The sequence below is a fragment of the Homo sapiens genome, chromosome 9 (assembly GCF_000001405.40).
Source record: "Homo sapiens chromosome 9, GRCh38.p14 Primary Assembly".
NCBI classification, from domain to species: Eukaryota; Metazoa; Chordata; class Mammalia; order Primates; family Hominidae; genus Homo; species Homo sapiens.
The window spans coordinates 88,395,031-88,407,451 of record NC_000009.12 but is presented as its reverse complement, the minus strand read 5'-3'; the positions used below and the strand labels follow the sequence as shown (position 1 = coordinate 88,407,451).

The 12,421-nt window shown below is 43.2% G+C and overlaps 1 protein-coding gene across 1 annotated transcript in view, besides 3 other annotated features; it reads right to left on the bottom strand.

Annotated features, from left to right (window-relative positions):
* The window catches only part of SPIN1 (spindlin 1), a 90,251-nt gene that overhangs the window by 71,243 nt on the left and 6,587 nt on the right, over positions 1–12,421 (bottom strand). The gene's annotated exons all lie outside the window — the stretch shown is intronic.
* Positions 11,054–11,554: an enhancer, noted in NCBI's record as "H3K4me1 hESC enhancer chr9:91010813-91011313 (GRCh37/hg19 assembly coordinates)". NCBI's record gives its function as "activates a minimal SCP1, AML or CMV promoter by ChIP-STARR-seq in naive and primed H9 embryonic stem cells {active_cell/tissue: H9 hESC(naive and primed)}" and the evidence as "EXISTENCE:reporter gene assay evidence [ECO:0000049][PMID:30033119]".
* Positions 11,186–11,410: a silencer, noted in NCBI's record as "fragment chr9:91010957-91011181 (GRCh37/hg19 assembly coordinates)". NCBI's record gives its function as "represses an EF-1alpha promoter that drives an FKBP-Casp9 reporter gene in an ReSE screen in K562 erythroleukemia cells {active_cell/tissue: K562}" and the evidence as "EXISTENCE:reporter gene assay evidence [ECO:0000049][PMID:32094911]".
* Positions 11,555–12,055: an enhancer, noted in NCBI's record as "H3K4me1 hESC enhancer chr9:91010312-91010812 (GRCh37/hg19 assembly coordinates)". NCBI's record gives its function as "activates a minimal SCP1, AML or CMV promoter by ChIP-STARR-seq in naive H9 embryonic stem cells {active_cell/tissue: H9 hESC(naive)}" and the evidence as "EXISTENCE:reporter gene assay evidence [ECO:0000049][PMID:30033119]".

Here is a 12,421-nt window from a genome sequence, read left to right as displayed (position 1 = left end):
AAAAAGGAAGATGAGGCCGGTGGCTCACACCTGTAATCCCAGGACTTTGGGAGGCCAAGCAGATGGATCACTAGGGATCAGCAGTTCAAGACCAGCCTGGGCAATATGGCAAAACCCTGTCTCTACTGAAAATAACAAAAAAAATTAGCCAAGCATGGTGGCGCACACCTGTATGTAGTCCCAGCTATTCGGGAGGCTGAGGCAGGAGAATGGCTTGAACTGGGAGGCAGGGGTTGCAGTGAGCCAAGATCACGCCACTGCACTCAAGCCTGGGCAACAGAGTGAGACTCCATCTTTTTTTTTTTTTTTTTTTTTTAAAGGAAGATCAATTTGAGGCATGTCTAGACTAACATAGGAAATTCACTACTAGAAGTTACACAAAAGGTGGGAAGCATAAAGGGTGTTCTTCGGGCAGAAGAAAATGTTACAAGATGGAGGATCTAGTTAGGAAATGAAAAGGATAAATTTTGTGGGTAAATCTAAATGGCTATTGAAAATACAAATTAAACCTGTCAAGATAAAATACAGACAGAATTAAAACAATGCAATAATGACAATGTGAATAAAAATGAGCTCAACAGAGTATCCAGGAGAGGAGGAAAGTATCAAATAATATTAGATTTTGATAGTAAAAGATTCATGTTTAAGTAACTTCCAAGTTAGAACAGCAGAACAAACATAAAAAATAAGCATCTAAAAGAAGGCAAGAAAGGACAGGAAAAGGTAAAAAACAGGTTTGATAGGCAGAAAGTACTTATTAACAGATTGAAACTAAACGTCAGTTACTTTGTCAAATGCCAATAGACAGATGCTCTAATCATAAGAAACACACAAGATTTTTTAAAATTCTAGTATATACTGGCTGGGCACAGTGGCTCAAGCCTGTAATCCCAGCACTTTGGGAAGCCGAGGTGGATGGATTACAAGGTCAGAAGATGGAGACCATGCTGGCTAACACGGTGAAACCCTGTCTCTACTAAAAATACAAAAAAATTAGCTGAGGGTGGTTGGCAGGCGCCTGTAGTCCCAGCTACTGGGGAGGCTGAGGCAGGAGAATGGTGTGAACCTGGGAGGCGGAGCTTGCAGTGAACCGAGTCTGCGCCACGGCAACTCAGCCTGGGTGACAGAGCGAGACTCCAACTCAAAAAAAAAAAAAAAATTCTAGTATATACTGTTGGCAAGAAAATCTTTCAAAACTTAAGTACAGTCATGCCCCACACAGAGACATTTCAGTCAATAATGGATCACATATACAATGGTAGTCCCATAATATTATAATAGAGCCAGGCACAGTGGCTCACATCTGTAACCCCAGCACTCTGGGAGGCCAAGGTGGGCAGATTACTTGAGTCCAAGGGTTGGAGACCAGACTAGGCAAGCGGCAAAACCCTATCTCTACACGTACACGTACACACACACACACACACACACACACACACACACACAGACACACAAGCCAGGCACGGTGGCATGCGCCTGTAGTCACAATTACTAGGGAGATTGTGTGAGGATCACTTGAACCCAGGAGGCAGAGGTTGCAGTGAGCCAAGATGGCACCACTGCACTCCAGCCTTGGCCAGAGCGAGACCCTGTCTCAAAAACAAACAAAAAAAATTATAATGGAGCTAAAAAATTCCTATTGTCTAGTGATTTCATAGCCGTCTTTGTGGTGATGCTGGTGTAAACAAACCCACTGCACTGCAAACAAAACTACTGTGTTCAAAGTCATACAAAAGTATAGTACAGGCTGGGCAGTGGCTCACACTTGTAATCCCAGCTACTCAGGAGGCTGAGGCAGAAGAATCACTTGAACCCGGGAGGCGGAGGCTGCAGTGAGATGAGGTCGCGCCACTGCACTCCAGCCTGGGTAACGAGAGCGAAACTCTGTCTCAGGGAAAAAAAAAAAAAAAAAAAAGGATAGTACAGGCCAGGCACTGTGGCTCACGACTGTAATCCCAGCACTTTGGGAGGGCGAGGTGGGCGGATCACGAGGTCAGGAGTACTGGACCAGCCTGACCAACATGGTGAAACCCCGTCTCTACTAAAAATACAAGAATTAGCCGGGCATGGTGGCGCATGCCAGTAATCCCAGCTACTCGGGAGGCTGAGGCAGGAGAATCGCTTGAACCCGGGAGGTGGAGGTTGCAGTGAGCCGAGATCCTGCCACTGCACTCCAGCCTGGGAGACAGAGCGAGACCCTGTCTCAAAAAACAAACAAAAAAAAGTATAGTACAATTACGTACAGTACATTGTACTTGATAATAAACAACTATGTTACTGGTTTATGTATTAACTATGTTTAATCATTATTTTAGTCTGTACTCATACTTATTTATAAAAAAAGTTAACTGTAAAACAGCCTCAGGCAGGTCCTTCAGGAGGTACTCCAGAAGAAAGTACTGTTATCATAGATGACAACTCCATATGTGTTATTGCACCTGAAGACCTTTCACCTGGACAAGATGCCGAGGTGGAAGACAGTGATACAGATGATCCTGAGTATCTTAGTTTTTTTTTTTTTGTTTTTTTTTTTTTTGAGACGAAATCTCACTCTTGCCCCCAGGCTGGAGTGCAATGGCACGATCTCGGCTCACTGCAACCTCTGCCTCCTGGGTTCAAGCGATTCTCCTGCCTCAGCCTCCCGAGTAGCTGGGATTACAGGCGCCTGCCACTACGCCCGGCTACTTTTTGTATTTTTAGTAGAGACAGGGTTTCACCATGTTGGCCAGGATGGTCTTGAACTCCTGACCTCAGGTGATCTGCCTGCCTCGGCCTCTCAAAATGCTGGGATTACAGGCATGAACCACTGCGCCTGGCCAAGTATCTTAGTTTTTAACAAAAAGTTTAAAAAGTAAAAACAAAAGTAATAAATTTTTAAAATAGAAAAGGCTTACAAAATAACAGGAAGAAAGTATTTCTATACATCTGTACAATGTGTTTGTGTTTTAAGCTAAGTACTATAAGAGTCAAGAAATTTAAAAATTATGAACTTCATAAAGTAAAAAAGCTACACGGTTTCTAATACAGATGCAAGAAAAAAGTGTCTTCGCTGTCTGACTGTAGCAGCCAAGACTGGATTGAAGAATTGGGGGTTAGGGGAGAGTAAGCTAAGGTTAAGTTATTATTGAAGAAAAATTTTTCTATAAATTTAGTGTAGCCTAACTGTACAGTGTTTATACACAGTCTACAATAGTGCACAATAATGTCCTAGGCCTTCACATTCACTCACCACTCACTCACCCAGAGCAACTTCCAATCCTGCAAGCTCCATTCATGGTAAGTGCCCTAATACAGGTGGACCATTTCTGTATCTTTTATACCAGGTTTTCACTGTACTTTCTCTGTGTTTACATACATAATTACTTACCATTGTGTTCCAACTGTCTACAGTATTCAGTTCAGTCACATACTATACAGGTTTGCAGCCTAGGAGCAAATAGGCTTACCATTTAGCCTAAGTGTGTCAAAGGCTACACCATCTAAGTTTTGTGCAAGTATGCTCTATAATGCTCACCTAACAACGCAGTTCTCAGAACATATTCTCATCATTAAGCAACACATGCTGGAAAAATAAGTAAGACTGAAATTAAAGGGTAAAAAAGGATATACCCTACACATACTAACCAAAGGAAAACACTGCAGCAACATTAATATCAAGCTAAATAAACTTTACCTCTAATAATACTGGCCCCTTAAAAAGAACACTTAATAGTGGTTTTCTTTTTTTTCCCCCGCTTTGAAGACAGGATCTTACTCTGTCACCCAGGCTAAGTGCAGCGGTATGATCAGGGTTCCTGAGTGCAGCCTTCACCTCTCAGGCTCAGGTGATCCACCCACATTACCCTCCCGAGTAGCTGGGACTACAGGTGTGTGCCACCACACACAGCTAATTTTTTTAAATTTTCTGTAGAGATGGGGTCTTGCTATGTTGCCCAGGCTGGTCTCAAACTCTAGACTCAAGTGATCCTCCCACCTCAAGCCTCCCAAACTGCTGGGATTACAGTGATTTTAAAAGACCTGGTTGATACATAGCTCTAAATACCAATGCATCTAAGAACACACCCTCATAAGATAATGTATAAAGCAAAAGGTATCGGAACTAAGGAAAAACTGACAAATGCAAAATCAAAGTATTAATACATCTCTTTCAATAACCAACAGAACAAGCTGAAAAGTTTCTGCACAGCAAAGGAAACAAATGACAGAGTGAAGAGACAACCTGTTGAATGGGAAATGATATGTGCAAACCATTCATGACAAAGGACTAAAATCCAGAATATGCAACAAGCTCAAATAACCAACAATTAAAAAATAATAATAATAATCCCACTAAAAAGTGGGCAAAGGACATCAAAAAACATACAAATGGCCAAATGATATATGAAAAAATGCTCACATCAGTAATCATCAGGTAAATACAAATCAAAACTACAATGAGATAGCACCTTACCACAGTTAGGATAACTATTATTAAAAACACAAACAACAGAAGATGGCAAGGATGCGGAGAAAAGGGAACTCTTATACACTGGGATGGAAATTAGTAAAGCCATTATGAAAAACAGTACGGAGATTTCTCAAAACACTAAAAATAGAACTACTACATACTTCAGCAATCCCACTACTGGCTATTTATCCAAAGGAAAAGAATTCAGTATTATCAAAGGGATACATACACTCACCTGTTTACCACAGCACTATTTACAAAAGCAAAGATATAGAATCAACCTAAGTATCCATCAATGAGCAGAGAGATAAAGAAAACGTGGCATGTATACACAATGGAATGCTATTCAGCCAGAAAGAAGAATAAAATGTTTGCAGCAACATGGGTGAAGCTGGAGGTCATTATGTTAAGTGAAATAAGCCATGCCAGGCATAGAAGGACAAATAACACATGTTCTAACAAATACATGGGAGCTATAAAAAAAAAAAAAAAAAGTTGACCTCATGGAAATAGAAAATACAATAACAGGTATCAGAGGCTGGGAAGGGTGAGGAAGAGAGGTTGGTTAATGGGTACAAACATACAGTTAGAAAGTTCTAATGTTCTCTAGCAGAGTAGGGTCACCATAGTTAGCAAATATATACTGTATATCTCAAAGTAGCTAAAAGAGAAGGCTTGAAATGTTACCAGCACACAGCAATGACAAATACTCAACGAGGCGCAGTAGTTCACACCTGCAATCCCAGCACTTTGGGAGGCTGAGGCAGGCGGATCACCTGAGGTCAGGGGACCCAGACCAGAATGGCCAACATGGTGAAACCCTGTCTCTACTAAAATTACAAAAATTAGCCCAGCATGGTGGCACACACCTGTAATCCCAGCTTACTCAGGAGGCTGAGGCGGGAGAATTGCTTGAACCCAGGAGGCAAGAGGTTCCAGCAAGCCAAGATCGCACCGCCGCACTCCAGCCTGAGCAACAGAGCGAGACTCCATCTCAAAAACAAAAAGATAAAATACTCAAGGTGATGGATGCTCCAGGTACCCTGACTTGATCATTATACATTCTATGCATGCAACAAGTATTCATATGCATCCCATAAAGATGTAAAATATTATGTATTAATAAAAGGAAAAGATTGTTAGGAATTTAGCAAAGTATTTTTAGGCAAAGGCTTAAAACAGACACATAACATCTCAACATAAGCAAGAACATACAGTTCCACAACTTGCTTCTCTTATTAAATGTTACATTTTTTGTGTAATATAGTTGGCCCTTGGCCTCTTATCCCTTCAGCTCCACATCTGTGGATTCAACTAACCTCAGATTTTCAACATTTGGGAAATGATGGTTTCATCTGTACCAAACACATAAAGTTTTTTCCTTGTAGTTATTCCCTCAACAATACAGTATAACTATTTGTATAGCATTTACACTGTATTACATACTAGGAGTAATTTAGAGATTAAAGTATACAGAAAGATATGCATAGATTATATGCAAATACTACACCATTTTATATAAGAAACTTGAGCATCCATGGATTTTGGTATCCATGGGGTGGGGTGCAGGCGGGGAGGCAGGCGGAGTGTGGGTCCTGGAACCAATTCCCTGATATGGAGGGATGGCTGTATGAATTTTTTTTCCTATCAACCTCTTATTATTAACAGTGGCACAATATTCCAGTGTATGGGTATAATGGTCATTTACTCTACCTTAACTCCATTATTGGACAGTTGTTTCTAATTTTTCTCGATCACAAACACTGATATAATGAAAAACCTTAAACATAACGTATTTGTATACTGTCCAAATTCATCTATACAATAAAATCCTAGCAGTGAAACTGCTGGATCAACAGAGCACATGCATTTTAAATTCTGTTTTAGTGCAGCCATCCTCCAAAAAGGTCCTAGCAAAGTACAGTTCCACCAACAATGCAAGTTATTTAAGGGCTATGCATTTAGGTGAACCTTTCCTTATGAACTAATATTTTATTAGAATCTCACTCTGTTGCCCAGGCTGGAGCGCAGTTGCACGATCATGGCTCACCGCAGCCTCGACTTCCCCAGCTCAACTGATCCTCCCACCTCAGCCTCCCGAGTAACTAAAACTACAGGCACAAGCCACCACACCCGGCTAATTTTTTTTTTTTTTTTTTTGAGGCGGAGTCTCGCTCTGTCACCCCAGCTAGAGTGCAGTGGCATGATCTTGGCTCACTGCAACCTCTGCCTCCTGGGCTCAAGCGATTCTCCTGCCTCAGCCTGCCGAGTAGCTGGGATTAAGGCATGGGCCATGATATCCGCTTAATTTTTGTATTTTTAGTAGAGATGAGGTATCGCCATGTTGGCCAGGCTGGTCTCAAACTCCTTACCTCAGGTGATCCTCCTGCCTTGGCCTCCCAAAGTGCTGGGATTACAGGTATTAGCCATCACGCCAGGCCAAATATAGACTCTCATAGAAGGTGAGTGAATGGTCAGTGGAGTTCCTTGTTAGGCCAGAAAAAATCTAACCGAGGCATCAGGCCTTGTGGATGGGCCTCAGTCAATTAACCCAACTGTTAAGAGTCCTTTCTATCTCCTTGAACTATAACACTGAACCCAGAATCTCTGCTTAGTGAGCCCACATCAATAAATTCTGCCTGATTCAACTTTATGTTCCTTCCACTGTTATACTATACCCCTAAGATCCATTGCCACAAATCAAATACTCCTCCAGGCTCCTGACTATACAGTGGCAAAACTATACAATCTTTTAGAGTGCAGCATACCTTTCTCATGGGTCACCTCACTCTCTGGGGCCTGCTGCAACTACAGTCCAGCCACAGATCTACAAGAAAGAAGGATTACAGGGCAGATTCTGAGGAAGACAGTACCGTGCTGGGCAACTACCCAAAGGGAGGCCAATTACAGGTTTTTCAGGCAAACGGAGATTAAGTTCCTCTGGGAAGGGTTGGAAAGGCTGCTTCTCCGGGAAAGGCAGCAGAGCAGCATTTAAGGATTTAAGGACTCCAGCTTAAACAGAATCTGACCATATGCCTCCAATCCAATTTTCAGGATTCCATTCCTACCAATCAATGATCTCACCCACAAATTAGGAATTACATTTGCATTTTTAGAGCAGTCACAGAAACCTTCGGGTCCCTTACGTGTAGCCTGAGCTAAAAATTTAAAAGCCTGAGCTGATCATTCTGCTTTGTATGGTTTGAACTTGGCTGAGCTGAACTACATTCCCCAGAATTTCCTTTCCTTTATGTTTCCAACTTGCATGGCTCACAAGAGATTTTTGTGCAGCAACTGAAGGGTGCAGAAGATAAAGCAACCACCCTGCAGCTTGCACACACTGTTGCTGCTCATCTTCTGACTCACCCCATTCGTGTGAGGCAGTGGTTGGCCTAGAATTGCAGCTGCATCCACTCCACCTTCCTCTGGGCTCTCCTTAAGCTTCTCTGCCTCCTGGGCTACATTTGCCAAGGATCCAACTCTTACAGGCCACCCACACAAGCAGGAACAAAGGCAACTAGAACTAGCATGGTTTCCATGTACCTTGCCTGTGGCTTCCTGTGTCCTCTTCTTCCCCACTTTACATCCATCTTCCTTTCTCAAATGACTGCCCTGTGGACTTCAAACTCCAGCATCAATCACAAAGACAACAGCCTGACAGAAACCGCTTAACGGCTGGGCACGGTGGCTCACGCCTGTAATCCCAGCACTTTGGGAGGCCGAGGCGGGTGGATCACGAGGTCAGGAGTTCAAGACCAGCCTGGCCAACATGGTGAAACCCCGTCTCCACTAAAAATACAAAAAAACTAGCCAGGCATGGTGGCGCACGCCTGTAGTCCCAGCTACTCGGGAGGCTGAGGCAGGAGAATCGCTTGAACCCAGGAGGCGGAGGTTGCAGTGAGCCAAGATTGTGCCACTGCACTCCAGCCTGGGCAATAGAGCAAGACTCCATCTCAAAAAAAAAAAAAACTGCTTAAGCCAGCTCCTCCTACACTGTGTGAACTCAAATCACTGTAACAAATGCCTTAATACATACACACACATATCCCATATACGTTTTCCTTTATCCATCCTAGGGGTTTCATTTTTCTAAACCTTATGTGATCCTGAAAAAAATATTACAATTAAAAGTCAACAAGGCCGGGCACGGTGGCTCACGCCTGTAATCCCAGGGAGGCCAAGGCAGGCGGATGACCTGAGGTGGGGAGTTCAAGACCAGCCTGACCAACATGGAGAAACCCGTTTCTACTGAAAATACAAAATTAGCTGGGTGTGGTGGTGCATGCCTGTAATCCCAGCTACTCAGGAGGCTGAGGCAGGAGAATTGCTTGATCCCACGAGGCGGAGGTTGCGATGAGCCAACATCGCGCCATTGCACTCCAGCCTGGGCAACAAGAGCGAAACTCTGTCTCAAAATAAATAAATAAAAGTCAACAAATTGTTACTTAATAATCACTGTATGACAAACACCTGTGCAGACAAGACATTTAACCAACCAGACACCCTCAATTTTCTTATTATTTAATTCTCGCTACTGCACAGGGTAGCTTGAGCCCTCACAATTCAGACACTGAGCTAGATACCAGAAAAGTAATTACAGGCAAAAACAGGAATGGTTCTGCTTTCATGAAACTCAGCCTTTGTGGGAAAACTAAAATTAATTAAATCACATAAACTAATATAACATTGTAATTCTGATAAGCACCAAGAGGACTTGACTGCAGAAAAGTCAAAAAAATTCAAGAACTTCAGACAGCCAGGCACGGTGACTCATGCCTGTAGTGCAGTGGCACAGGTGGGAGGCTGAGGCAGCACTTTGGGAGGCTGAGGCAGGTACACTGCTTGAGTTCAGGAGCTCGAGACCAGCCTGGGCAACAAGGCAAAATCCCGTCTCTACTAAAAATACAAAAATAAACTAGCCAGGCATGGTGGCACATGCCTGTAGTCTCAGCTACGCGGGAGGCTGAGATGGGAAGATCACCTGAGTCCGGGAAGGTCGAGGCTGCAATGAGCCAAAACTGTGCCACTGCACTACAGCCTAGGCAACTGGAGTGAGACCTCGTCTCAAAAAAACAACTTCAGGCTGGGCACGGTGGCTCACACCTGTAATCTCAGCACTTTGGGAGGCAGAGGAGGGCAGATCACTTGAGGTCAGGAGATGGCGACCAGTCTGGCCAACAAGGTGAAACCCTGTCTCTACTAAAAATACAAAAAAATTAGCCAGGCATGGTGGCACGCACCTGTACTCCCAGCTACTTGGGAGACTGAGGAGTGAGAATTGCTAGAACCTGGGAAGTGGAGACTGCAGTGAGCTGAGACCGCACCACTGCACTCCAGCCTGGGAGACAGAGCAAGACTGGGGAAAAAAAAAAAAACACTTCAGACAACTGATGCTTGTTGGAGTCGGTGATGAATATCAGTACAGTCCAATCTCTTTATCTTATGAAAATGTGCAAGCACGCACACAGAAAATTTCATTAAAAGTGATGCTTGAGCCAAACTCTAAAGACCAGGAATAACTGTTAACAAAGAAAGGCATTCCAGGCAGAGGAAAAGAACAAGTGCCAAGATTCCTGGTGGAGAATATGGTGAGCACAGGAGAATGAAGGAGGCCCCACACAACTGGAGCAAAGGAAAGCAAGGGGAAAAACAGTACAAGATGAGGCTGAGGCCCAAAAGTAATTAGTCATGCACCACCTAATGACATTTCTGTCAACACAACAGACCACATATACTACAGTGGATCCATATTATGAGGCTGTTTTAAGCTACGTGTTATTTAAAAAGACAGAAAGTTTAAAAAAAAGTTAAAAAGCTTATTAAGTTAAAAAAATTACAGTAAGCTAAGGTAAATTACTGAAGAAACTTTTTATAAATTTAGTGTAGCCTAACTGTAGTGTTTACATACAGTCTACGGTAGTGTACAGTAATGTTCTAGGCCTTCACATTCACTCACCACTCACTCACAGACTCAACCCAGAGCAACTTCCAGTCCTGACAGCTCCATTCATGGTTCAGTGCCCTACACAGGCATGCCATTTCTCTTTTATACCACATTTCTACTGTACTTTCTCTGTCCTTAGATATGTTTAGATAAATAAATACCTACACAGCACTGTGTTCCAATAGTCTACAGTATTCAGTTCAGTCATATGCTGTACAGGTTTGTAGCCTAGGAGCATTAAGCCATATTACATAGCCTAGGTGCCTAGTAGGTTGTCCCATATAGGTTTGTGTAAGTATACTCTATGAGGTACACAACGAGGTTCTCTGAATGTATCCCATTGTTAAGGGATGTAAAGCTATATGTACACCAACTATATGTGTACCCTTGAGGCTACATTATAAACTTTTGTCCTTAAGGCACTGGAAAGCCATTTAGAGTTTTTCTGTTTTGTTTTCTGAGACGGAGTCTCACTCTGTTGCCCAGTCTGGAGTGCAGGGGTGTGATCTCAGCTCACTGCAGCCTCCGCCTCCCAGGTTCAAGCAATTCTCCTGCCTCAGCCTCCTGAGTAGCTGGGATTACAGGCATGCGCCACCACACCTGGCTAATTTTTGTATTTTTAGTAGAGACGGGGTTTCACCATGTTGGCCAGGCTGGCCTCAAACTCCCAGCTTCAGGTAATCCGCCCACCTCAGCCTCCCAAAGTGCTGGGAGTACAGTACAGGTGTGAGCCACCGCACCCACCTGGCCACCATTTAGAGTTTTAAGTAAAAAGCTGACATGGTCAGATCTGCCTTTTAAAAATGTAATTTTTTTTTTTTTGAGATGGAGTCTCACTCTGTCACCCAGGCTGAAGTGCAATGGCGCGATCTCAGCTCACTGCAACCTCCACCTCCCAAGTTCAAGTGACTCTCATGAGGAGTAGCTGGGATTACAGGCGCAGGCCACCATGCCTGGCCAATTTTTGTATTCTTAGTAGAGACGGGTTTTTTTGTTGTTGTTGCTGTTGTTTTTGAGACGGAGTCTCCCTCTGTCACCCAGGCTGGAGTGCAGTGGCGCAATCTCAGCTCACTGCAGTCTCTGCCTCCCAGGTTCAAGTGATTCTCTTGCCTCAGCCTCCCGAGTAGCTGGGATTACAGGCACGCGCCACCACGCCAGGCTAATTTTTGTATTTTTAGCAGAGATGGGGTTTCACCACGTTGGTCAGGCTGTTCTTGAACTCCTGACCTCATGATCGGCCCACCTCAGCCTCCCAAAGTGCTGGGATTACAGGTGTGAGCCATCACACTGAGCCTGAAAATGTAATTTTTTTAGGCTGTATTGATGCCTGACGCCTGTAATCCCAAGTTTTTTGGGAAGCCCAGGTAAAAGAACTGCTTGGGGTCAGGAGTTCAAGATCATCCTGGGCAACACTGTGAGACCTCATCTCTACAAAAAATTAAAAAGTTTTAAAAAGAAAATGTAACATTTTGACACTAACAAAACTACAAATGTGTTTACCTTTCACCCCACATCTATCTTAAAGCTGTATCTGCACAAATAAAAAACAATATACCCACAAGGTTATTCATTGCCGCAATATTTATAACAGCCAAGAGAATATAAACAACCCAAATGTTCATCATTAGGAGATGAGTTGCAAGCACGCACTTCAATGAAGCGCTCTCCAGAATAAATTAAGTAAAAGGGAGCAGTGTGCATAGAACGGCAGAGCAGTGTGCATAGAACGCTGCCTATTGTGTAGGAAAGGGAAACAAAAATATACACATATGCTTACATTTGCAAAAATGAAATATCAGAAAAACAAAGCAAAAACAACTGGGGCAAGAGAGAAATTCGTGGAGGAACAGAATTAAAGTGAAGCTGTGAACATAACTTTTTAACACAGATCAGATTTTTTAACTACATAAATGTTCACATAAATGTTCTACATGTTAAAAAATACATTAAATAGGCCAGGCGCGGTGGCTCACGCCTGTAATCCCAGCACTTTGGCAGGCCGAGGCGGACAGATCACGAGGTCAGGAGAT